The 27,745-nt window shown below is 40.2% G+C and overlaps 1 protein-coding gene across 1 annotated transcript in view, besides 3 other annotated features; it reads right to left on the bottom strand.

Moving 5' to 3' along the window:
* Positions 1-27,745, bottom strand: part of MYRFL (myelin regulatory factor like) — a 133,871-nt gene that overhangs the window by 39,813 nt on the left and 66,313 nt on the right. The window contains exons 8-13 of the mRNA NM_182530.3: positions 25,445-25,521; positions 23,804-23,914; positions 22,039-22,129; positions 15,441-15,641; positions 9,208-9,316; positions 8,355-8,464 (exon numbers count right to left, since the gene is read on the bottom strand). Of these exons, the coding sequence (NP_872336.2) occupies positions 8,355-8,464; positions 9,208-9,316; positions 15,441-15,641; positions 22,039-22,129; positions 23,804-23,914; positions 25,445-25,521 (699 nt within the window). The remainder of the gene's footprint in view (positions 1-8,354; positions 8,465-9,207; positions 9,317-15,440; positions 15,642-22,038; positions 22,130-23,803; positions 23,915-25,444; positions 25,522-27,745) is intronic.
* Positions 12,894-12,963: an enhancer, noted in NCBI's record as "active region_6656". NCBI's record gives its function as "activates an Ori minimal core promoter by ATAC-STARR-seq in GM12878 lymphoblastoid cells {active_cell/tissue: GM12878}" and the evidence as "EXISTENCE:reporter gene assay evidence [ECO:0000049][PMID:35858748]".
* Positions 21,996-22,564: an enhancer, noted in NCBI's record as "NANOG-H3K27ac hESC enhancer chr12:70290501-70291069 (GRCh37/hg19 assembly coordinates)". NCBI's record gives its function as "activates a minimal SCP1, AML or CMV promoter by ChIP-STARR-seq in primed H9 embryonic stem cells {active_cell/tissue: H9 hESC(primed)}" and the evidence as "EXISTENCE:reporter gene assay evidence [ECO:0000049][PMID:30033119]".
* Positions 22,565-23,135: an enhancer, noted in NCBI's record as "NANOG-H3K27ac hESC enhancer chr12:70289930-70290500 (GRCh37/hg19 assembly coordinates)". NCBI's record gives its function as "activates a minimal SCP1, AML or CMV promoter by ChIP-STARR-seq in primed H9 embryonic stem cells {active_cell/tissue: H9 hESC(primed)}" and the evidence as "EXISTENCE:reporter gene assay evidence [ECO:0000049][PMID:30033119]".

Here is a 27,745-nt window from a genome sequence, read left to right as displayed (position 1 = left end):
AGCAAATGCCATAGTTTGTTGTAATTCTATGATTTCTTGTCTTACCAAGATGATTTACAAGCTCCTTTTGAAGGCAGTGACTTTCTCTTGTGACTCCTCAGGGCCAACTCAGTACCTGACACAGGCACCTCAATATTCAATTGATGAACACAATCAGTAGTTCTTTATTAAGCACCTATGATATGCTAGACACTCACCTGAGTGCAGGGATAAGACAATTAGATAAAGTAGACAGGATCTCTGCCCTCATAGAGAATATCTTCTAGTGGGAGAGATTGACCAATAGCAAGTAAACCACAAATAAATAATACAGTTCAAAGGTGTAATTAGCACTAGGAAGGAAGCTAACAAGGCATTGAAATAGAAAATAATTGTCAGTCTCTTAAGCTGTTACTATAGACTTGGTATATTCATTTTATTTTTGAAAGTACCAGGAAAGAATAAAATAATAGAGTCAAGTGAAAAGTTATATTCTTGTCCCGAAAAAGACAAGTTAACCCAATGAAACACTGAATCAAACCATTCACAGAAGGAAAAACCTAATAGCTAACATAAGAAAGAGATGCACAACTTTATTACTAATCAGAGAAAGTTAAATTAAAACAATATGATGCTCCTTTAACTCAATCAGAATTGCAAAATTTAGAAAGTCTGATAATGTCAGGTGTTGAGGATACAGAGAAACAGTAAGCCTCAAGCACTGCTGTTATGAATGAGAACTGAGCAACAATAGGCAGTATTTTATAAAATTAAGTCTGTGTGTATCCTGCACCCCACTCCTTGTATTGGTTCCAGAGAGAGCCACACATCTCATCTCTCTCCTCCCCATTTCCTTATTGATCCTATTCGTTCACTTGACACTGTGCTTGCCCCATGTTCTCTTCCTACTTTCATCCAATCTTCTCAGCCCTCACACATTCTTTTCTTCCTCTACAGGCCCTAATTGGGTGTGTTCCTTAAGGTGTTGCTTTCGGTTCTTTGGTTCTTTTTGTTTCTCATTCCATACAAACTTGAAAGTCCATAGGGCCAAGAAGGTAATAGATAGCAGTGATGCGAGGGCACATGAAGCCTCATTGGAGGGGCCACTTCCAAGCCCAAGTGCCCAGCCCTTCTGATATTTCAAAGGACCCATAAATCTGATACTTTTATGAAGATCTCCTAATTTTTAAATGTAGGGAACAAATCTGAAATGTTTTAAAACACTATGGGGAAAAAATGTCTGTAACCCAGACTTGGCCACAGGCTTGCAACCTGTGACCTATACCCATAACCTTTCCCTCCTTAATTAACATCTTCATCCATGGCTGCAGCTTCCTCTCTACCCTAGCTGCCCTCCCAAGTTCTACACTCACAGTCACCTTCTGGACTTTTTTTTTTTTTTCATCTAAATGTTCAGTTGACATCTCAAAGCCAATATTGACCTTATCTTTTCCTCAGAAAATCACTTCTCCTTCAGATTTCCTTAAGTCAATAAAACCACTTCTCTTCCTTTCATGGAGATTTAAAAACTCAGGCATTAATATACACAAATTTTTGTCAGCAGTATCCACAATGTATCAGATACTGTACTAATCAACACAGCACTGATGAGGCAGATTCTCTGACCTCAGGAGTCTCACAGTCTAGTGAAGGAGAAAGATAACGGAAAGAGAATGGCAATACAATGTGATAAATAGTCTAGAAGATGTATATGCAGAGGCCTAAGGCAGTACAGAAACAGGATCAACCAAGGCATCACAGAATTCATTAATTCATGTTACCAATATTTGTTGAATTCCTACAGTACTTAAAGTTCTGGGGTAAAAGCCACAATAAAGTGTTGGATAGTTTTAAAACGCATAAATTTCTGCTCTCATACAACTAATAGGAGAGATTGGCAAAAAAAAAAAAAAAAAAAAAAAGTCAGTGAATAAACAAGATGATTTCAGTTAGGGACAAATACCCTCCAGGCTGCCCTGAACAAGTTTACAGTTTGTTTACAGCACAGGCCCAACCGAGGGGGTGGATAGGGTCTGCAGCAGCCAGAGGAGGCCCCTTTTTAAAATTAGAGCAATGGCACTACACATTCTTACAGTGGCCCTGACTCTTAAAATGAAACCAAGTGATTCAGGGACTATTTTATATGGGGTGGTTAAGGAAGGCCTCGGCACTGCTCTAAGGCCCAAATGATGAGATCATCTGAAGAGTCTTTAGGGCTGAGAACCACTCAACAGAACAGCTCTGAGGCAGAAACATACTTGGCAGGTTTGAGGAACAGAGAGAGGGAGGGGCTGGGGAAGGGGAGCCGTGGAAGCTACTGGAGAGAGATGAAAGCTAGGCAGCACAGGGAAACGCCAGGCTTTTGAAGGAATATGTAGGAGTTTTCAGTGCAAAGTGTTGGGCAGTAGCAAAGGCTTCCAAGGTAAGGACACAAACACATCATATTCTGAAAGGGCCCAGCTTATTTGAGAAAATGAAATATTTTTCAAATATAAATGACCTTACTTATTTAGTCATTTAGTCTGGCTGCACTGAAGGCATCATGGGATTCAGGGGTTATGGGAGCATTAGGAAACGAGTTAGAAAGAGAAGACTCCATCCAGATTGTGGAGGGGTTATAACAGTCTGTAGCCAGTAAAGGGCCAGTGGGAAAGGGAGATTATATGATCAGAGATTCGTTTTGCTTTGTTTTTAAGGAAGATAATTTTATTGGTGGCTAGCAGGTCAGTTAGGAGATCATTATAATAGTGTGGGAGAAAAATGGAAAGAATAAAGAGAATAAAGAAGAGAACTGATATACAAAGATATTGCCAAAGGAAGAAAAATAGTACTGAGTGTTTAACTGCATATCATGGACAAGAAAAAGGAAGGTTTGAGAAGCCATCTGTCCTCCCTTGGCCACACTTTCAGTCCCCAAGGTCCATCATGTCTTCTTTTGCTTGCCTCTCAAGTCTTCCCCCTTCTTTTCCACCCGTGAACCTCTGCCCCGTCTCCAGCTTTCTTCTCTCCTTCCTCTGAGCTGATGTAGTGCTTTATTTATGCATCCCATAGTATTTCTCACATTATTACTTAGAGCTTTATTACTTGTGTACCTGTCTTATCATCCCCCTCTTAGACAATAAGCTACTTGGAGACAGGAACTAAGGGTTACTTATCATTGCATCATTCAAATAGACAATTCCTGGTACATTATGATTAAAAAAAATAGAATCAATGAGTAAAAAGTACCCACATACTAAGCCACAGTAGGGTGGTGTACAGCATGCAATCTTAAATTTAAAAAAACAACAAGAATTGTCCAAGGAATAATTATTCACAAGACACACCTCACCTTTAAACAGGTTCAGTTGTGAATTACTTTAAGGCAGTACTTATATTTACTGGGTATGTTTTTCTTACAGCAAGCACATCTAATAATAATGCTCAAAAAATGTGATCACCTGCCCTGAAAGAATCACAGAAACAAATAAAATTGCCAAATAAAGAGATAGATGAACAAGCAGAAAAGGCCAAGCTGCCACCGGTCTAATGCAGGGTTAGGCCAGGTGTCTACAGCCTACAGGTCCCCTTGCTTTCAGTGTCACTCCCAATCCCTCTCACTCCACCTCCTGCCACTGGGCCTTCACTAGGGCACAGGGACACTGTGGGGAATATATGAGAAGAGGCAAATTACCCCAGATAAGTAGTTTATTTTGTAAGGTCATCTGTCCTGAGAAGGGAGAAAGAAAAGCTGCTTGTACCAACTTTGACAACGATCACCCCCTTTGGTTGCTTGCATAGACAGTCTATAAAGATCCAGACATTCTTTTTTCCTATTTTGGCATCAGGTTGTGAGGTACCTGCAGAAGTGACATAGCAATCATGGAGGCAATATTTCAACATTTTCCTAAGTGTTTCTAATTTGCATTCGAACTTCAATGAAAATTTCTTTACAAAAAAGGATCAGGTGATGGGACAGAAATGGAGTGAAGAATGGAGAGGCTGTACCTTCATATGACCTCCTCCACTTATTACAGCACATGAAGCCCAGGACGTCCTGGCAAAGTTCCTTAAAACAAGCAGCCCTGGAGGTGGCAACCAAAGCCACACTGCCCACATGAATAGGTAAAAGTCCAGGAAAGCAAGAGGCTCGCTGTACATACTGCTTGTTTTACAATTAACAAAGAACATGGGACAAGAGGAGCCACTTTACCTGTATTCTTAAAAAGAAAGAAAAAGGAGATGCTCTGTGAGGCTTTTATAAGGTAGGCAGGGATAGCCCACCGTGTTGAGGGTTAAACTAGCAAACAAAGTCTATCCTCAGAAGTGAGGCACAGCACACTGCCGGGCTTCTCCTCCATCATCAGAGTGGGGAGATGTTCACTTGCTTGTGGTGTTACAGATTCTGTAAGTGAGTGTGGCCTTAGTGACATCTCCATAGATTGCATCACTCCAGGGTCCTGTTTTTAAGAGAATCACAACATTTCCCTCCTGGACTCCTGTGAGTTTTACCAATTTATAAACTGAGTGCTGCCTTGGCATGGTTTTCTCCTCAGGTGACACATGAATGAGGCTGGCTGCCTGGAACAGGAATGCTACCCCCTACCTCTCCAGACCTCTGAGTTTGCCTTCCTAGGAATGAGCTTAGGTTGTAGCCTCTCCTGGAAGAAGGAGGATGGACCTTGGAACTGATAGAAAGAGAAGATTCTGTCTCAACTATTCCCAATCAACTCAACTAGGGAATGGGAAAATACTGGAAACAAGGGAGAGAACTAATTATTTGGCTGCCACAGGAAGACATTACCTACACATTGCCACTCAGGAACACTTCGAGTGTTCTAGTGGAGGGCCACATCCAGAAGTTATATAGCTGCTTCCAGAGGGTAACCCCATAAGCCCCCACCTTGGCAGCTTGCTGACATACTCCCAAGGCTGTACCCTGGGACTAATAGCTGTGTTTATACTCCTTTCCTTTCATGACAGAAAGCTTATGAAAAAAAGCTTTAATTGTATTTTAATAATAAAATACTAAAGTTTTCTAATAATTTACTTCAAAAAAAGGACCTCTAAATAGGCCCTAGAAATAATAAAACAGGCCCTATTTTATTTTTTAAGTAATTTATTGGAAAACTTCAGTATTTTATTATTAAAAATAAATTTCTCAGCAAAGTAGCAGGATACAAAGTCAACACAAAAATTAGCTGCATTTCTATACAATAACAGTAAGCAATCTGAAAAGAAAACTAGGAAAAAAATCCCTCTTACAATCACATCGAAAAGAATAAGACTCTTGTGAATTAACTAAGCAACATGGTAAAAGATTTGTACAATAAAAACTATAAACCATTGCTGAAAGAAATTAAAGAAAGCATAAATAAACAGAAATACATCCCATGTTCAAGGATTAGAAGACTTAATATTGTTACAATGTCAACACTACCCAAAGTGATCTACAAATTCAATGAAATCCCTATCAAAATCCCAACGTTGTCTTTTGCAGAAATAGAAAGATCTATTCTAAAATTCACGTGGGATCTTAAGAGACCCTGAAAATAGACAAGGAAATCCCCCCAAACAAGAACAAAGCCGTATGACTCACACTTCCTGATTTCAAAACTTACTACAGAGTTAGAGTAATCAAAACAGTGTGGTACTGGCATAAAGACAGACATACAGACAAATGGAATATAATAAACAGCACAGAAATAAACTCTCACATATATGGTTAAATGATTTTAGACAAGGATGCCAAGACCATTCAATGGGAAAAGGACAGTCTTTTCAACAAATTGTGCCAGGAAAACTGGGTATCCATATACAAAAGGATGAAGCTGGACTCTTACCTAACACAAATATTAACTAAAAATGGATCAAAAACAGGAATGTAAAACCTAAAATTATAAAACTCTTCAAAGAAAACAAAGGGCACAATCTTTACAATATTGGATTTGGCAATGATTTCCTGGATAGAACACCATTGGCATAGGCAACAAAAGGGAAAATAGATAAACTGGATATCATTAAAATTTAAAACTTTTGTACATAAAGACACTATTAAGAAAGTGAAAAGACAACCCACAGAATGGGAGAAAATATTTGCAAATTATATATCTCATAAGGGATTAATATCCAGAATATATAGAGAATTCCTGAAACCTAACAACAGTAAACAACCCAAGTCAAAAATGGGCAAAGGACTTGAATTGACATTTTTCCAAAGAAGATATATACATGAACAATAAACACATGAAAAGATGTGCAACATCACTAATCATTAAGGAAATGTAAATCAAAACTAGAATGAGATATCACCTCACACCCATTTGGATGGCTTCTGTTTGAAAAAAGAAAAAAAAAATTACAAGCATCGGTGAGGACGTGGACAAACTGGAATCTTTGGGAACTGTTGGTGGGAATGTAAAATGATATCGTCACATGGGAAATAGTATGGTGGTTCCTCAAAAAATTAAAAATAGAATTGCCATGTGATCCAGCAGTTCCACTTCTGAGTAAATATTCCCCCTAAATTGAAAACAGAATATTGAAGAGACATTTGAATACTGACAATCATAGCAGTATTATTCACAATACCTAAAACATGGAAGCAACCCAAGAGTTCATCAACATAGGAATGGATATGCAAAATGTGAATAAAGGTGAAAATTATTCAGTCTTAAAAAGAAAGGAAATTTTGATACACACTGCAACATAGATGAACCTCGAGGACATTAAGCTAAGTGAAATAAGCCAGCCACAAAAAAAGAAAGAAATGCTCTATGATTCTGCTTATATGTAGTCAGAATCATAGAAACAGACAATAGAATTGTGGTTGCCAGGGGCTAGGGAAAGTGGATAATGGGGAGTTATTGTTTTACAGGTACAGAGTTTTTGTTTTACAATATGAAAAAGAGTTCTGGAGATGGATGGTGGTGATGGTTGTATAACATGATGAACGTATCAAACATCAATGACTTGTATGCTTAAAAATGGTTAAGATAATACATGTTATGTTTTGTGTATTTTACCACAATAAAAAACCTGGGAAATAAATATATAAATAAATGTTTCATGATATACCTCTCAAGTGAAATGATAGCCCAGGTCTGGGAGAGAGACTGAAGAATTGCTTCTATCGAAGATATGTTCTTGGGAAGCAGGAGGCAGTAAGTCAACTTCTGCCACTGTGCTCTTGCAGCCCTGGGCTGAGCAGGCCTCCCAGACCATGTCATCTAAGAGTTTGTGGTACAGTGGCTGGTAGGTGGAAGATGGTGGTGGTGCCTAACATGAAAAGGCATCCTCTGCTTTGCTGCTCCAAGTGTGGCTTCTGACCAGCAAGGTTGGTAAGATTGGCATTACCAGGAGGCTGGTTGGAATTGCAGGATCTCTGGCCTCACTCCATTCTTGCAGAATCAGAATCCACACTTTAATAAGATTCCCAGTGATGCATGTGCACTTTGAAGTTCAGGGAGCATTACCTCCATTAACTGACAAATTATAAATTAGTCTCCACTCAAGCATCTCTCCCCATGACTACAAAACCCTTATATCAATTGGTCTTTCCTCTCAGCATCAAATATAATAATGCAGTATAAAACAAATCAGCATCAGAGTGCATTTGCAAACCTTGCAAAAATGCAGGATTTCATAGAATCAATAGATATGGTATTAGGGAACTCCTCAAATCATACACACAGCATCGACAAGCAAGGAACTGGCAGATTTAGACCCATTACCAAATGAAGACGAGCTAATCTACAGGCATGATGGCATTCCTTCAAAAGAGAATGATTTGAATATCAAAGAATTAAGAGAGGCCCTTGGGAAAAAAATGATCAGGCCCATGAATATCTTCATAAAAATGACTCACTTTATGATTATACTGTAAAAGTCAAACACCGTTTCATCAAAAAAACTATGCTCAAAAAATTCAACACTTCACTTAATCTTTAATCATTCTAAGAAGAAACACATTGTGTAATTATAATTTAAGTTGCATTACCTAAAATATAATGCATTTTTCATAAGTTTATTACCATTTTAAAAGATGAAGTCTAATTAAAACTTTTTTGTCAGTATTTATCATGATGTTTGGCCCTTGTTTAAAGTGCATTCATGCTAAGTGGACTTTCCTAGTGCCAGTTAAGATCTGCTGAACTCGAATTCTTACTATTGCATATGCATTTTCCTTTTTATCATATGGAACTTCTTTTTGGTGCTTATGATCAATTTGAATATCAATTATAAGAGAGTTGATACCTACTCACTCCACAACTCAGTGAAGAATTATTTTAATGTCCCACTTCCTGGTTGGATGTTTCAGCCCATTGTGCTATCACAGAAGGGGGTTTATCCCTAGACTGATAGCTTATAGCAGCTGATATCTTTTCAGTGATTACCTTATCCACCATGAGGAAGTTCTCCAAGGTCTCTCCGTTTCCGCAGGTGACATCACCAACCTCTCTTACTGCTCTGGGCAGGATTTCTTGCACCTCCTGGGCAATCATTCCTGTATACAAAACACTCCACAGGTTTAATCTTCAAAGAAAGATCTTTCTGGAGAAAATCCTCTCTAAGCTTTTGCTTTGATCTACAATACATTTGCAGCAAAGAAGGAATTTTGAGCCAAGAACCACTATAGGATTAAAAGTGGGAGTGTTTTCTGTTTTTTCTTTTCCTTTTTTTTTTTTTTTTTTGAGACTCTGGGCCAACAGGGGGGAGGTAAGTGCCTTAAAATCCCTGTCCATAGAAGTAAAGATGGGGCGTTGGCTTGATTTCCTTTCTTTTCCTATAGGAAGCCTTTGCCCCTAAAATATTCCTTTATTCCTTCCTTCTTTAGGCTTCCTGGATTGGAGTATAAACATCACTTTGCTTACCCCTTCTCTTATCTAGATCCACTTACCCTGCCACCTTCTCCCTCCACCTCCCGACTGCCCAATGCCGTTCCTCACATAGGTTGAGCCATCATCTGTCCCTGAACCCTCAGCCCATGAGCAAAAGGACTCCTGTGCAAAGAAACTATATATTCAACCTACACCACCAGTACCTTGGGGTGGAGGAGTGGGGGTGTTGAGTAAAAATGACACAGAAATTTTTTAACCTTTCCTGTTCTAGTGACTATGAGTTTCACAGAGAACAAGTTAGATCAACATAGCGTTGTCAAATGCCATAGCACATAACCTCAAAATAAAGAGGTAATTAAAATTTTAATAGTTGGCAATACAAAATTAAAAGGGGAATTTGTGTGTGTACCTGTTTGATGGGCAGTGTTTATTCCCATTGCAGATGCAAATTCAGGTTTGTAGTCATATTCAACAATTCTCATTTGGGCTATTCTTTTCAGCTGTTCATTCGTGTCAACCTAATTTAATTAAAGAAGAGCAGATTTTACTCGCATAGATATTTGCTATTCAAATTAATGCCCAGAGTGACCCAGAGACATCACTGAATTGCTTTTGGACATTTTGCTGGAGATAATTTCTTCAAGTGGATTCCAAGCCAGGATTACCCAACTGCTGGCCCTTCAGGACCCAGCCACCCTCCTTCCCCTGGACATGCCTCCCCCACATCACCCCGGCCAGCAGGGCATCCTCTACGTGCAATCACTGCTCTCACATCATTAAAGGCTGTCCCAACTGTCACTACGGGGTCCCAGCAAAATGATAACAATCAAGAGAGTACAGTGAACTTTCCCTAAAGCTAAATGGGTTTGATCCAAAGGATTCCTCTTTAAATTGAGAGATTTTGTAAATGATAGTAATAGCAGAATTTTTTTTTTAATATCTTTATCTGACAAAAAAGTTGGTAGCCCTTTGTGGGTACCCTAAATTTTCTTTTGGAACATAATAGAATTACAAATAAATACAAATATTTATTGAGTAGCTATTGAGGCAATTAAAAGTAAACTGCCTGGGCATTCATCCATGTGATAGAGGAACCAAAAACATATTTTGTTATTGTTGTTTTAAGAAAACCACTGTCATGGCCCTCAGCTCCTCCCTTGACAGACTCCCTGAGGTGGCAGTAGAGCCCCTCCACCATCGTTTAGGATTCTCAGCCCTTCACTAGTTGGACTGGTTGTGAAAGATGGTAGCTTGGTGCTTAATTGGCTAAACGGATTAGCTTTATTTCAGGAAGTTATTCCAGAGTATAATTCTGAGCTTACTGCCATCATTCATTCTTTGTTTTATTTGACTAACATTTACCAATCACCTTTAACATATCATGCACTACTAAGTGTTGGGACTTAAAACATAATTGCCTTGAGCTGGAGCCCATTATCCTTAGCAAACCAACACAGGAACAGAACACCAAATACTGCATGTTCTCACTTATAACTGAGGGCTAAATGATGAGAACACCTGGACACATAGAAGGGAGCAACATACACTGGGGCCTTTTGAAGGTGGAGGGTGGAGGGTGGGAGGAGGGAGAGGATCAGGAAAAACAGCTGATGGGTACTAGGCTTAATACCTGGGTGATGAAACAATCTGTACAACAGACCCCCATGACACAAGTTTACCTATGTAACAAACCTGCACTTGTACCCCTGAACTTAAAATAAAAGTTTTAAAAAATTGCCTTTTAAAAGTTTGTGGTCTAGACAGGAAGACCCAGCTGATAGATACATACGTAATCATATATGATTATATTACAATGTGAGAAACATAGTACAATGATGGAATTATGCACAGAGAATCATTACAGCTCTGAGGAGGTGTTGAAAATATTCTCAGGGACACGTAAAGGAAGGCTTCCTAGCGATGATGAAGCCCAGCTGAGATCTTGGCTTACTCCAGTTCCTCAGACAAACTCTGCTCCTTTCACTTTCCAGCCTTTGTTCATGCTGTTTTCCCAGACTCAAAAGCTCTTCCTTCCCATTCCCCTGCCTTCCCCTTCACCAATGTAAGCATTGTTTCTCAGAGAAGGATCTCTTGACCTCCAAGTCTAGGCAAAGTTCCTCTGCTTTATGTGCTCATAGCACCAGTTCTCCTTCATAGCATGAGTCACAATTACAAGACAACTAATTGTGTCAACTTCATTCTTTGTCTTCTCCTATATCACATACACCCCGTGAGAGTGAGGACATGTTTAAGGTCATGGTTCATCAACATATCACCAGTTTCAAATACAATTCCTTGCATGTTGTAGGTGCTCAGCTAATAATTGTTAAATACATTGATAACTTAAAGCGTTAGGGAAAGATGTAAGATAGGAAGGGAGGGGGAAGGATGAGACTAAGACAGGAATGCTAGCCACAGAGAACACCATGAACCAAGGCCCGAGACAGCAAATGCCCTGAATGACATCTGCAGAACAAAGGCAGAATTTGGCATTACTGGACTAGAATGGTTAAGGCCAGAGCAGGGAGGGCCTTGCAGGTCATACTTGGAAGGAACAGTCACAATCTCATATAGCCCTGTGCATATATCTATCACTGTGAGCGCCTTCACTCAGTCAACAAATATCTATTGAGTAGCTACTATGTGCCAGATGATCTCCTAAGCACTGGAGATTCAATGAGTGTTTCTCTTTTGGAGCTTAAATTTTAGTAAAAGTTTCATTCTTGAGTCTTATTTATCTCAGGACCTGCACAGTACCGAGCAAAGTGTCTGACATGTAATAGGCACCTAAAATTTTTGATGGAAAAAAGAAGGAATAAAAGAACGAAGGTATTAAAATGGCAAGACAATCCCTGACATGAAGAGAATTGAAGAGAGAGGGTCAATCAGGAGCCAGCCTGGACTGGCCTTGCACTGCCTAGGCCCTACCCAGTTCCTCAGCCATAGGCCCCTGTGAGTCCTATGCCCAATCCCTATTTTCCCCTTTGTTCCTGCCCCACCTGCAGGGCCCCAGCTAAAGAAGGAAGCAGAGGCAGTGTTGGTTCCTTTGTTGCAGATGAAAAGCAGAGGAGAAAGTACCCTCATGTAGGCTGTCCAGGCTACAGAGAGGGAAATGGTCCCTGGTTTCTAAACTGGATCCTTGATTCCCCAAGACATACTGCTAGACATAGCATTAGGTTCTCTGGTACTACTATCATCCTCTAGACAGATTTTCAGCCAAGAAAAATTTTGAGGGTTACTTGGAGACCTAAACATTTTATATGACAATGTTCCTCAAACAAAATGCTTTTCTAATTTCTGGACTTATAGTCTTCCCAAAGCTAAATATAAACAGTAGCCTGTATTGCATGATCCCTATGTGTACACTTGGCCTAGGGAAAACACTTGAGGCAAAGGGTGTGCCTTCTTTGAATCCTCCCAGGAACCCTACCCAGGCCAGCACTTACTGCTGTGCCTTGCTCTTCAATGCCTGTTGAGTAAGAAACTGAAAACTGAATTTGGGTGTCTGCTTTGACCTTGCCCACAGAAGTTTTGGAAAGTTTTGACCATGGATGCAAATAGCCATCAGCATCATGCTGCCTCACACCCAAGGTTTCTATAATATATCATTAGCTCAAGAATTGCATCACAGACAACACCTTCCAGTCCATGGGACTCAGTCTGTTCAGGGAAGGCTATCTGTCATCTGGTGATGGCCCACAGCCCAGCCACAGTCTGGACTAGGAGCAGCTTAAATGACACCTGCTCACCCTGAGCAAAGGAACTTCTGCGTTTGGCTCCTGGCCCAGAGGGAGACTTTGCATGTTTGACTTTCTTGAGCTTTTTTCATGTCTACTTTTGTCTTCCACTAGCACACGGGTATTGTGGTTAGGAGAAAATCAAAACAGCCTTTGAGCATTTCATCTTAACGATTCCCTTTTCTGGCTTGAATTTTTTAATATCTTGCTACCTTTTTTCAGCCTTCACCACAGAATTTGACTGATGTATTCAACTCTCAACTTCCTCATGTTTTTGGGCATTGACATTGAGGTTCTTCATGTGCCTTTAGTGTTCAGCGTGTCCTTCCCCCCTAGTTTTGCTCAGTTTCCACCGTCAGAGCTGCATGTCCTTCCACAGTCTGCAGTCGCATCAGTAGACACGATGCCAATGGCTGGGCAAGTTAAGCTGCTCCTCTGCCCAGGACCTCAGTTGCAGAGGTTTCGGTCATATCTGCGTCATCTTCTCCATGTCTTGGATCTGTGTCCCTGTGAGCATCAGAGATCTCCCCCACCAGGACTTTGTAGATAATCATGTTCTTAATATCCACAAAGAAATCTGTGTTTCCTGCGTGAGGAAACACATAGGGCAAAGCAGCAGCCCATATCCATTTTCCCCAATTGTAGTATTAGGTAACATATTTGACCACTACATTTTGTAGCAGCTCATCCATTCAGAAGCCAGCTGTGGTTAGAATGCACTCTTAAAGAATAAGAAATTGCTTCCAGTCCTATGCATGCCATCAAATTGACCAAGGGTCAGATCCCCAGAGTATATGAAAGAAAGGCTCTCTTTTTAAAAGTTGCAAAAACTAAGTCAGGAAGAGGTGAAGATGAAATTCACACATCTGTCATCAGCATCATCAACATTACCATCATCTCCCTCATCTCTGTAATAAACAGTGGACTGGGACAGACAAGATTTCTACAAATATATATCTCAAAAATGTGCACAGATTTATCAAAACAAATCTATTAATATGAAATCATTTAATAAATAAATTACATGTAATTTTTATTTTGTATAAATAGAAAATAATTTCTCTTTGCTTAGACTTGTCTGGCTAAAAAATACCTTACATATATGAGTTTAGAAAAATCTCTTAACCTGGGTAAAATGAATATGAGCATTTCCTGTTCACAGACAACAAAACAGAGTCACAGATCGCCTCTCGGCCAAAGTTCCTGGGCTGGTGGTTGCCAGAGTCAGGACTAAACTCTTAGACTTCTAACCACGGACCAGGATTTTCTTTATTCTATCATGCTGCCATGAGCAGGAAGGGGATACAGAAATTTCACATTTAGAGCCTGGATTGAAGTGACATTTCATTTAGATGGAGAAGGCTTTTTAGAAGGGATGTGAGAAGTTCTCCAGAAGCTTGTTATTTTAAGACAATATATTTTCTTCAAACCAACAAGCAATATTTGAAGACTTTTTGTAAATGAAGTTCTGTGTTATGCCTGGTGGTAGCAGGAAGGGTTGTACAGGACTTTTCTCACTTGTTATATTCAATTTACATTTTAGTAAGACTTGGTAGTGAATTGTATAGCCAATTGCAAGGATAAATTTGAGTTGGTGTGACCTGAAATGCAGACAGATGATCTCTCTCTAAAGTTCAAAGTCACAATATCTAGGACTGACATCTGGAAATGTATGTAAGAACTCTCTAGCTCTGCATTCCCATCTGGCTAGTAGGTCACAGCTCTTCTAATATGAACCGCAGCTTCACAATCAGTATAAAAGTCTACAATTACAACCATTCTTTGGAATCCTCTAAGCAAAGGAGGACATTCCTTGGCTGGTTTAGGAAAACCAGTGCAGATTTGCACTGAGAAAGGAATGCAGTCTGGAAGAGGGGCTAATAGTGAACAGATTAGGACTTCTATTAGCTAAAAAGGGATAAGGAAAGGAGAGAAAAGGAACTTTTAAAACACAGCTTCACAAATGCTGTCAAGAGAAGTAGTATGAGTGAGATGATGGGGAAGTGGTAGAAGCAATGCATGGGAAATAATTAAATGGCAGAAAAGTTGGAATGAGGTGTTAGTAGCTGGCTGATGGATTGGAAGCTTAATCCTCATCCTTATGGTCTACATAGCAGTTGTAGCTTTCCAAGATGATTCAGTTCAACTGGTTAAAAAATAAAAAAGAGCCAAGGGTGTCAGGCAGGCAGGCAGGCACCATTTTCATCTTATAGCTGAAGACACTGAGTTCAAGGAGATTAAGCTTTTTATCCAGGGTCACGTAACTGGGGAGAGCCCAAAGCGGAGAAGCCATCTCCTGACATCTAGGCCTGACTTCTGGTTTCCTCTAGGTAACTGCCTCTCCACGGAGGAAAAAGGTCTTCACCCGGAACTCTTGGCGATGAACTGACCAAGTAAGGGATGAGGAGGAGGAGCTTCTCAAGAGTTCCTAGAGAAAGACGATGCCTGGGGAAGATAATGGCCAGTAGAGTTGGTGCCAGGGACTCTAGAAGGAAGAGGCTGGAGACATCCAAGAGAAATATGATCAGGAACTGGACTGAGACAGTGCTTGGAAGATGAGTGGGGAGACAGAAAGGAAAAGGCAAGCTCTGGAAGCTGACAAAGTATGGAAGGAAGGGCAATGGCCTGTGGAAAATAACTGAGACTTGCTGCCTGTGAGGCCAATGACATGCTGTCTTTGCCCACTGCTCCTGTCAGGTAAATCCATTCTCTCAGGGAGGAACTGCTTTACAATTTCAGCAGAGATGCCCAGCAGCTCAGTCATCATTTTTAAGCAGTGTGTTCATCTCACACCAGTGGGTGACATGTAAAGATGTGCGGTTCAAGGTGTGTCAGAGGCCAGGAGCACCCAGCAAACCTGACTGGGGTGTCAGAGGAGGGGCCCAGGGCCTGAATCTGTGCTCACCTCCTGGATATTCTGCTTTGCCCGGCTGTCAGAGGGATGCATGATGGTCCCCATCACTTTCATGTTGCCACAGACAACCAGGGCTTCGTCCGGCGCATCTGTGTTGATTCCTACTCGACCGTGACAGACAATAGATTCTGGAACTTGTCCTCGCTGCCACAATGCATCACTGTCATTTTCAAACTGCCCAGGGTTAGAGGCCTGGAAAAATACATAAATATATTACAATTAAAGTAACAGTAGCAGGAATAGATGATCACATTAGTGTTCAGAGCAAAGGCAAACTGAATATTATCTAAGTCTTTCATAAGAGAATCCTGTATTGAGTGGGACATTCTGACATATCCAAGTAATTCCGGGGCCCAGGAGAGCCAGGGAGGCTTCCCTAACCACTCTGCCTCCCCGCTAGCAGGAGCTCTGTATACCCTGATTTGAAACATCCAATCTCTATTGCATCTATCTGGAATTAAGAATGTGATCAGTTATACTAGGTGGATGATAAAGAAGAAAACTAAAAATGGCTATCTTTCCAGGAATAGTCATCATCATCATGATTTAAAATCAGAACATTATATCAGAAAATATTACAGGTGTACTAAAGTCAGATAAATAAAAATACCTTGCATTTAGCTAGCCCTATTATAGTTTCAAAATGCTTTTATATTTATGATTTCATACACAAGTGACAAGCAAATGATAATACAAATATATTTAATATACATCAACTATTCCCTAAACACAGAGGATACTGAAGGAAGAATAATAACAGCTACATTTGTTGTGCGATAATTCACAGTGCAATTATATGAGACACGTACTATTGTCCTCATTTTATTGACACTGACACTCTGAAAAGATAAATAAATTGCCCAAAGCCACAAAGCTAATAAGTTCTGGAGCTGGAACTACAAGTCCTCTGATTATTAAATAATGATTTGCCTGTTTCACGGCATTGCTTAGAAGTAGTCCTGGCAATCTTCAAAGAAAATCCAAGTGAAACCATTGGACTAGACAAAGTTCTGGAGATTTTACTCTTAAATAAAATTCTTTGTCAAAGAATGTTCCACTGCACTGCCTTCCTTCCTGCTTCCCTGTAGCCACTGAATATATTCCCAAATATTTTAAAGTAAGCATCTCTAAATCCCTCAAAATCCTCACAACAAAATTAATTTGTTTTTAAAATTATGATGTATTTTTATGATTGAGGCAGGCTGTCACAACTTTAGATAAACAGTTGTGATCCTGATTATCTAAAAAGTCAGTACTAATACTTGACTTTTTACCTTTCTGGTGGTATATGATACATTGCAGGCTCAGCACCTGAATATGCATAGATTTTCTCTGAAGACTACTCAGGAAACCAATAACAATGGTTTCCTCAAGGATGGAGCCTGGGAGATGGAGAAACAGTGGTAGGAGGGAGATTCACCTTTCACTATATACTCTCTTGGTATTGTTTGAGTGTTTTTGTCATATGCATTTGTTACAATTTTAAAAATAATTAAAAGAAACCACAAAGTTTATTTCTTAGTTTGGGTTTAAAGAACTTTTTGATGTCTTCAATTTCCTAATTCAATCCCAAGTGTCTGAACCCTGAGCTGCTTGGAAGACTCAACCATTGATACTTGATAAACAGAAGCAGTGAAAGAGGCCAGGTGTGTGGTGGCTCACACCTGTAATCCCAGCACTTTGGGAGGCTGAGGTGTGTGGATCACCTGAGGTCAGGAGTTCAAGACCAGCCTGGCCAACATGGTGAAGCCCCATCTCTACTAAAAATACAAAAATTAGCCATGTGTGGTGGCATGTTCCTATAGCCCCAGCTACTCAGGAGGCTGAGTCAGGAGGATCACTTTAACTCAGGAGGCAGGGGTTGCAGTGAGCTGAGATCATGCCACTGCACTCCAGCCTAGGGGACAGAGCAATACTCTGTCTCAAGAAAATTTAAAAAAAACAAAAAAAAACAGCAGTGAAAGAATGTAATGGGGTGGGAGGGTAGTGGGGAGTGGGGGAAGAGTATAAAGTAAAAACTTTGAACATTATTTTGTGTAAATTTACTTGAACAAAGAGCTTTTCTGCAAGTTCCCTAGAGCCCCTTGGTTGTGAATGGCAAATTGGCTTTGACTCAAATCCTTTTATAGCAACCAATCAACTAAATCCAAAGGTATGCCATATAAGATGGTGATGTATTTTTCTCTATTTTGAACATAATGAGCCACTTCAAGGAAACAAAATAAGACAGTGATGAATTTTTTCATAATGAGCTTTGGGATAGTTATTATCATGTTGGTAACTTGATACTGGAACAGCAGATATAAGTGGATTTAATTTTTTGGAACAATTGCAATACTCTCACTTAGCTCTCATCAGATGAAAACTCAAATCCCTAAAATATGTTCACATTATTTTGGAAAGGGCCACAGATTCACAACATTCTAAATATATAGCCCTAGGGAGAATTCCTCATCAGTAACAGGAAATGTTCTCATAAGATCTGTGAACTTATTTCCTTTCTCTGGAATCCACAACCTTCATGTGTGAAAGCAAGCCACAATATACTACCTCTTTCTGGAATTATGAGTTTGTATTCACATGTGACCCAATAGTGGCTGATGGATATCAAACACCAAAACAAATTAATTAAAATGTCTAAAATATTTTTATTGTTTGTGTCATATCCTCTTATTTAGGGAAGAGACCCGAGCATTCTAGTCTATGTTATAACACAAACTAGCTGTGTGACCTTGGGGCAGCCACTTAATCTTTCTCTGTACTGTGTCCTCCTCTGATGAATAAAGAATCATGTCTCCTTTACCCACCTCATAGGGTTATTGTGGGATTAAGTGAAATCATGTGTGCATGAACAGTTTGCAAAAATGAGGATGAAAAGTCTCAAAGTTATTCTCGACACACTCTCCTGGGCACAGCAGCAGCTATTTAACCTATAATTGCTTCATCTGCTCTCCTCAGCAACGCACCTGCAGAGTTGCACAATTCCAGGGGGACGCCTTTCATAAAAAATACAATGTAAATGGCGCCCCCTGCAGGTTATTGGAATAGAAAACAGCATCAGCAGCAATTTGAAGGCTATGCTGAGTTAGAAGTGAAAAGCTGGAATTTGTTTTACCATCGTTTGGGATTCGAAAGCAGCAGCCAATGAACTAATAGAAGAGCTTGACCTGAGGAAGGCAGCTCTTAGGAAGTCCATTTTTGCACCTTTTGAGAGGGTTACAGAAAAAGGACCTAGAAATACTCTCTGCTGGTGCTACTCAAAGCATGGTCTGCAGGCTAGCAATATCAGCATCTCCTGGAAGCCTGTTAGAAATGCATATTCTCAGGCATCCCTGACCTACTGAATCAAAAACACAGGTATCTGTGTTCTTACAAGCTCTCTGGGGATTCTTATTCATAATACAAGCTTGAGAACTACTTCTTTATGCCATGTACTCCTGGTCGTAAGTTGCCCTTCTGTAGTTGACAGAAAGATCTGTTGAGTCCAAAACAGGCATTACTCCATAAACTGTTTTCTTTGAGTAAACAAACATTCATCTGAACTCCAAAAGAGGAATGCGTGTGTCTGTGTTTGTGTGTGTTTGCATGTGTACACATATGCATTATTATATCATCTTCCCTAACCCTAGGTTTGGTTTCCCATGTCACGCACTGTGATTTGCAGAGCAGTAGAGGAAGAATTCTTGGGGACATGACCATTTCTATTCTTCTGGAAAAGAAACTGGAATAATCTATTGGTTTTCAAAATGAGGAAACCCTAGAGTGTCTTTGAAAGGCAGACAAAAGTAATCATCCCTCCTGCTTGCAACACTGCACTCCAAACCAGGTTTAATTAAGTATTTTAGAAGGAAAGTGGGGCTGAGATAGAACAGCCCAGTCATTAACAAGGGGAAACTGAAGGAACTCCACTGGGAAATGCTCCCAGAAACAAAGACTCTGCAAATAAATCTGTTCTTTGGAGTAAGCCTTAATTTTCATTAAATTGGTCAATTTATACTACAGGACCATAATATACTTCTAAAGCTGTTTTGATTGACAACCCAGATGAATAATTACTGGGTCCTGCCCACCATTCTCTCTCCAAGCAGAATTCTGACAAGCTTGGTCAGAATTCTGGACCCTTCCTGGAGACCTGGAACTCATCTAGGTCTAACCCTCATACAATCACCCTTACCAAATAGTAAAATGCCAATCTCTGCCATTAGGACAAGTGGTTCTTAGGCCACAGAACAAGTCTGGATTTGCTTAAATGCAGTTTTCATTTCTCCATTTAATGTAGTCAGGGCTTGTAGTGTCTTTGTCAAATTTTTCTTCCCATTCTTCATTCCGGAGCTTAAACTAACAGAACCAGGCCATGGCCTAAGAGGCCACATCTGGCTCTTTTGTAGAATGTTGGCTGGTCTGCCCTCTGCCCAACCCATTTGTATGCACCTGTATAGGCCCCTCTAGAATCTCAGGTGGCAAAAAATGTATTCTGTGGACATTTCTAAAACTCACTAATTCAAACAATAATGCCATTTCTTAAACAATTAAATAAACCAAAAAGTCTGCATTCATTTTCACTTCTGTGTTTCAGAGTTTGAATGAAATAATAATAAGATATTTCTAGTGGGGGGATGAATGGTTGATGTTAGTAATCCTTATCTTCTCAATGCTGTTAGGGTAACTTTTGTGTTATACAGCACACTTGTAGAATAGGGTATTCTCTCTAACCAAAATTGTGTCTGGGAGAAGACTATCAGATCTGGAATACAATCATTTTTTGAAATAAAAATTTAGTGAATAGCATGACACCCAAACTATGCTGAGTAAATTTAATATTTTTGGTACTCACACCGAATACGAATCATGGAACTTTCGACTTCTCAAAGTCATCATTATGATCTCATTATCATTGTGCTTTGGATTTGAGGAGGTGCCAATTAACAGAGAGTTTTTGGTAAACAGAATGCTAGAGAGTGGAGCTCCCTCCCTCTCATGTTGCTGTTGTGTGGACTTGTACAGCAGCTGCGTATAGCTTTGCAGGAGCTGTCAGCAGCAAATGGAGAAACCTTGTCACTAGGTAAATTATTCCAAGTATGCAGGTGACTAGCAGACTATCTGTCTGAAGCATAAGTTATACAGCTCCGGAGAGTACTGTCATGATATCTTAGCTATGCTAACTCTGAAAAGAATGGCATTATCTGTCTCTATTCCTTCCTAAGAGAAACAATATGCAACCTGGGTTTCCAGACTTTACTTTAAATCAGATTTGTCAGCACAGCAAGGCAATTCCAGATTACATCAAATAAGATGTCAAAGATGGCCCTGGCCCCTGCAGAGGGATGGACAGGCACCTCTGTATTGGCTTATGACGCAAGGAGAGGGCCCCACCTGCCTCTGCCCCAGATGATCCTCATTTGCTGCATGTTATGTCAGAACCCACAAAAATGCAGCCTGGGGTGTGCATGTCCTTCCCTAACCCTGGGATTGCTGAACACATACGTGTTTTACCTCATTTCTATCATCACTTCATCTCCATTACAACGTTGAGACATAGTTAAAGGATTTCCACTAATAGGAGGCTTATTAATTTTAATTGACAAAAGGAATTACAGAGGTCCCTTTGTTTCAGAACAGTTCAACACGGGCAAGGAGAGATGCCATTTCCCCAAATGGGCAGATCTTCTTTTCTTCCTCAGGGCCTCAGGTTAACAGCCACATACATGGGCAGGCCCACAGTGAACATTGTTCTCTATTGGAGTTTGCATGGCCTCCCTGTATCACTTCAAAGATCCATAACAACACAGCCCCTCCCAGGGCTTCCAGGCCTGTGGCTACCTGTTACTTCATGCCTCTGGTATTTTCAGTGGTGGCCAGCCTGAACTCACACAGCTGCAGCTGCAGCCACCAACAGCTTTATGTTTTGTGCCTGCCAAGACTCCGCTGCACAGCTGTGACCAATCATTCATTCAGCAAAATGTGCTGAACCAGCCATTCCCATGTGCTAGACAGTAGCCCAGATGCCCTGGTGCTACCAATCACATTTGGCCTGGAATGCTTTCCTACCACTTTCCCCACCCTGTGGGCTTTAGGGTCAGAGAGATCCAGGCTCCATCATTTACAATTCATGAGATCATGGATTAGTTACTTAGTCTCTTAAGCCTCAGTTGCTCTGGGTATAAATAATGTAATGTGAAAGTATAACAATGTAAAATGATGTCATATATAAATTGTTTAGCTCAGTGCCTAGAACATAGAGTAAAAACCAGAGTCTCTCAACCTCAACACCACTGACATTTTGGGAGGTATAATGTTTTGTTGTGGAGGTTGTCCTGTGCATTGTAAGGTACTGAGCAGAATGCCTGGTCTCTACCCACTAGATGCCAGCTGTGACAACCAAAAATGTCTCCAGACATTGCCAAGTGACCCTTGGAGAACAAAATTGCCCTTGGTTGTGAACCACTGTGTGAAAACTAAAATAATAGTTTCTGCCATTACTATCATTATCATCGAAATAGCATATTCAAGCACACCATTGAAAATTCAAATTCTGCCTACATAGGAGGAAAGCATGTGAGATCCAGAAAAGTCAGAGAACTGAGCTTACCCTTACAATGATCCTTTCAGAGATGTGGGCAGACAACAGATAGAACTGGTCTTGGTTAGCAGCATACAGTCCAACCACCAACATGAAGTATCTAATTCAGAGACAGCAGACCAATGCCAATGCATCAGGAATGGAGACACAATTTGTACAAACAAATACCACCCAACAGTTGATCAATAGTGAACTTATCGAGAAGAGTTTGCTTATTTAAAGACTGCCTTTTCCCTTCTGTTCTAAGTTGTCCCCCCAGTGAAACAAGAGAGTAGTTGATTCACTTGCTATTGTTATGGGTCAGCTCTTTGCCCAGTTGGTGGTATCTGTGAGCTGTTTTACATGCCCCAAAAGAGCAGGAAAGCAGGCCACCCTGCGGAGACATCCCAGGAGGGGTCTGGAGTCAGCCTATCTGTGCTGATTCAGCACAGGCCTCTCTACGCTGCAGTCCTGAGCCCTCAGCACAGCATGGCTCACAAATACAACAGGAAGCCACCTTAAAGGTCCCTTTGTTCAGAGCCCCAGAAGCCACATGGCCTGGGCCTTAATGGAGACTGACTCCTAGGGTCTGCCCCACCACACTGGATCCTTCCCAGTTCAGCCTGCTCTTGGCCATATATCCTGTGCCTTCAACAACCTCTGGGCTTGACTTTAGCCAAAGACTGAGACCTCCCCTTCAATTGCTTCCAAGGCAATTTTCATCACTGTTATTTCAATTCCTCTTCATACGTACCACTGATGAGACAGTTTTAAGACTAGACCACTTCTTAAAAGTCAAAATTAAAACTATCCTCATCAAAGAAGCTTTTGCCCAAGAACTGCATGAAAAAACTTCACCAGCTTCCTCTGTAACATTCCTATTCTCTTAGAGAACAAGAGTTTCCCTCTGCATCTAAAGTAAATCAGTAAGAGTAGTAACCGTTATCATTATTATTATTAGTTACTGTCAAGAGCTCAGTGTGTCATATACCGGGCTAAGCAGTTTACCTACATTAGTCTACTTAGAGCACCAAAACAACTTCATTGGAGTAGAATATTGTTATTGTCTCTATTTTGTAGGACAGGAAAATGAGTCTCAGAGAGGTTAAGTTATATGCCCAAGGTCACCCGCCTAGTAAATGCCAGTATCAAATAGTCAAATTCAATTCTATCCAACTCCAAAACCTATGTTCTAAAAGCAGCAGTTCTCAAACTTGAGTATGTATCAGTGTCACCTGGAGGGTTTGTTAAAATACAAATTGCTAAGCCCCATCCCCAGAGTTTTTGATTCAGAGTTTTTGATTCTTCAGTAAGGCCCGAGAACTCGCATTTTTAATGAGTTTCCATCTCTGCTAGTCCCGGAACCACACTTTGAAAACCACAGGTCTAAATCATGAAAACAAGTTATTTTCTTTTTTAATCAAAAAGGTCATAGCAGAACTTCAAGACTAGAGATCAGCACACTGGTTGAGAAATGCAGCCAGCCCTCAATCTGTGGATGGCAATGAGATATAAACATGTGGTCACTCTAGAAAAACATGGAGGCAATCGAGCCAGGCAGAGACAGGGCAGGGCAGGAAAGTGGGCATTGCAGGGCATGGGGTTGGGAGAAGAAAGATGTCCACAGGTAAAGGAGAAATGTTAATAAACTGAGAGTCAGAGAAGGGAGGAAAGTGGCTTAGAGGCCCTGTGTTCTGGCTGGTAGCACCAGGAAGATCAGAGGGGCCCCAGGAGGGCACTTCCTGGCCAGATAAAGTACCCAGCCACACTGCCATGCACACAGTGACATCAGTACCTCTGGTCTGGATTTGGTTTTCCCTTTTTTCTCATATTATTTGCTGTGGTTTCGCTGAAGTGTAATCGTCCCAGTGTTACTTTGGTGACCTGGTCAGCCAGTAGGTCAATTCTAAAACAAACAGCAAAAAAAAAAAACCAAGAGACTATAAGAGAACACCAAATCTCTGATCATATCTAATCCACTTTCAGACTCTCATCTATGCTTGGTTCCCAGTTCTCACCACACTGAGAGAACAGTTTATTCTAGTCCCCGATTATTAACTGCTATCCACAGCATGGTCAGGAATAGCTGCCAGGAAGGCCATGGAATATCTTGAAGGGTAAGAAATGCTCAGTCAGTAAAAGCTGAAGCCTGGAGTTTTCAACTCACAAGGGCCATATGCTCCATATACCCAGCATGGGTCCTTTTACCTCCACAATGGGGAAAGAAAACCTTTCATTTGTGCTGCCGCCACTGTTGTGATAGCACTCACCTCCTGACTGAAGCATGAATGCCTTTGCATCCCCTTCACATATTTGCCTCTCTTAGCCTAGCAGTGGGAGGCAGCTTCCTCCAAAGGAAGGCCACAAACACCCTGCCCAGACAAGGGAGAACCAGATGCACCACGCACATTTAGTGCGGTGTTTGTACAAGTGGCTTCTGGACTGTCCAGGCCATGAAATCATCTTCTTCTCAGCCCAAAGGGGATTGATTCAGGGTCAAAACCCTGAGATGTCTCCACTGCATCCCTGCCAAACCAGTCAGAAAGCAAATCCCATTCATTCTAAGTCATCCTACAGAGAGGACTCTAGCTTGGACTGCCATATTGCTTTGCATACTACCAGCTATATATGCTTTCTATACTGGAATCCATTCAGCAAGCTATCAACATGGCTTTAAAGAATAAGGAAAAATGACTTCTAAGTACAGCATGGATATACAATCTCAAAACTAATTCAATCAACATCATGCTGATTTAAATGAAAAATTAAAAGAAAGATCTAGCCATAATTTATTTCAAGGAACTAAAGTTGTTAGTAAGGTTGTTAGCAAAGTTTTTAGCAATAAACAATATGAAAATAACAGTGGCTTTAAAAATGGATCGTTTTATAAAGAATTTTTGCAACAGTTTCAATGCATAGTACAACTCTGCTTTGTTGATAAACATATATTCATAATATTAACATTAATACTACATTAATGGCAGGGCACTGTGGCTCACGCCTGTAATCCCAGCACCTTGGGAGGCTGAGCCAGGCAGATCACCTGAGTTCAGGAATTCAAGACCAGCCTGGCCAACACGATGAAACCCCATCTCTACTAAAGATACAAAAAATTAGCCAGGCATGGTGGCTCATGCCTGTAATCCCAGCTACTCTGGAGGCTGAGGCAGGAGAATCCCTTGAACCCAAGAGTTGGAGGTTGCAGTGAGCCCAGAGCACGCCACTGCACTCCAACCTGGGCAACAAGAGCAAAATTCTTTCTCAAAAAAAAAAAAAAAAAAAAAAAATTAACATTATTAATTTGGATTCTATGGTAGGTTTCATTTTAAATAAGCAAAATATATTAGATAATAAATAAAATTATATATATATAAAAAACAAAGTAGGTGTTTATTCACAAAACATTCACAAAGGAATTCAGAAAATAAATTCTTACTTAACAGGATTGAAAATCTTTTTGCTCCTATCTGCTTGGGACTGTTCAATAGCAATTATTTGATTGGTAGCTTCCACCTGTATGAAACAACAAAAAGTAAACTAATTAATTAATTAATTAAAATGTTAATCAGCAAAGAATGTTCAAGTACTTAAAAAGCTTTTCAAGGCATCATCCTAGGCACTGGGCAGGAGGAACAAGTCACTGAAAAGACACATAAGACAATAGTCCCTACCTTAACGTGGTATTCTGTTGATGAGGAAAGAAATAAATACCTGTGAAATTAAACAATGAGAACACAAGACAACAGAGTATTTCAGGTAGGCAGTGAATACAGAGAGGGCTGGAAGATGGCTGAAACATCAGGAGTAAGGCAGCTCCTTATTTATTCATTCATTCTAGAAGTACTTATGGAGCACCCACTATGTACGAGGAACTGCTTTAGGCATTAGAGATAAGAACTGAACACAATTAACAAAATTTCCTGTCCTTGGGGAGCTTACATTCATTCTACTATGAAGAAACAATGATATACAATATAATAAACAAATCATAAGAATTAACATTTATTCAGCATCTGCTACAAACTCTTCTTGTTCTGTGAATATTGGAAAAGACTTGTGAGATCAGCCCTGTAATATACAACTGGTGGGTATTCACATTGTAACAAATCTTTCTAGAAAGCAACTGGTGGCCTACATCAAGAGTTTTAATAATATGTATCTTTCATGTGTAAATTCCCCTTCTGGAATGTATCCTTATGCAAAGGTGGGTGGATGTTCACTGAAGTTTTATTAACAATAAAAAATGGAAAATAAACAAAACTTCTAATAATAAGGGAATTAATATGATGCATCCATACAATGGAAAACTATATTATCTTTGTGAACAATATTTTTATGGGGTCCTTACTAATATCATATAATGTGATGTCCACAATATATTACTAGCAATATGAGATTAATTTTAATAACAGAAGAAAAGAGAAAAAATAGGCTACCAAATGGTGGATCCCAAATACAAATGAATTTCATCTCTTTTTCATACATTTCTATTATGTTCCAAAATTTTCACAATGAACTTATATTACATTCATAATCATACAAAGAATGTCTTTTTGTTGCTTGTTTGTTTGATGTTTATATGTATTTTGGTTTTTGTTTTGTTTTGTTTTTAAGAGCTCAGTTTGGTGCAAGAACAGTTATGTGTGCAGCAGCCAAGCCTTAGTGCCTAAGCCCAGGTTAGCTATCAGAATAAAATATGTAGGCCAGGCACAATGGCTCATGCCTGTAATTCCAACACTTTGGGAGGCAGAAGCAGGAGGATTGCTTGAGCCCAGGAAGTTGAGGCTGTAGTGAGCTGTGATAAAGCCACTGCACTCCAGTCTAGGCGACAGAGCGAAACCCTGTCTTAAAGAAAACAAAACAACAACAAAAACAACAAAATAGGCAGATAATGAATGCTTCTCCCTCTTAGGAACTGGATATGAAGTTACAATTTAAGAAATACTTTTTGATCACTCAGAAGTCATATTACCTCCATTCTGAACCGAGCTCTATCATTTACTACCTTGGATGAATTGTGTAACCTTATTGGCCCTCAGTCTCCCCTCTGTTAAACTGTACAGGAGGGCGTTGACTAAATTAGTGGCTCCTTGGCTTTTTTTAGGTCACAGATCTCTTTGATAATTTGATGAAAATAATGAATCTACTTCATATGAAAATGCATCAACATCAATAAAAATAAAATAATTAAGAATACATTTAGTAAAAGAATTGCAAGAGTATTCACTGAAAACTATAAAACTATCATTTGAATGATGCCGTGCCATTTTCTGAGCCCAGGCTTACGAAATCGACATCTTGGCTGGATATGGTAGCTCATGCCTGTTATCCCAGCACTTTGGGAGACTGAGGCAGGAGGCTCACTTGAGCCCAGGAATTGAAGCCCAGCCCAGGCAACATAGTGAGACCCCATCTCTACAAACACAGCCAGCATGGTGGCACACACCTGTGGTCCCAGCTATTTGGGAGGCTCCCACTTGAGCCTGGGAGGTCAAGGCTGCAATGAGGCATAATCATGCTGCTGTGCTCCAGCCTGGGTGACAGAGCAAGACCATGTCTCAAAGAAAAAAAGAAAGAAAGAACGAACGAACGAAAGAAAGAAAGAAAGAAAGAAAGAAAGAAAGAAAGAAAGAAAGAAAAAGAAAGGAAGGAGGAAAGAAAGAAAGAAAGAGAAAGAAAGAAAGAAAGAAAGAAAGAAAGAAAGAAAGAAAGAAATTGACACCTTTCACTTAACTTG

Source organism: Homo sapiens, chromosome 12 (assembly GCF_000001405.40).
Source record: "Homo sapiens chromosome 12, GRCh38.p14 Primary Assembly".
NCBI lineage: Eukaryota > Metazoa > Chordata > Mammalia > Primates > Hominidae > Homo > Homo sapiens.
This window is presented reverse-complemented; position numbering and strand designations above follow the sequence as displayed.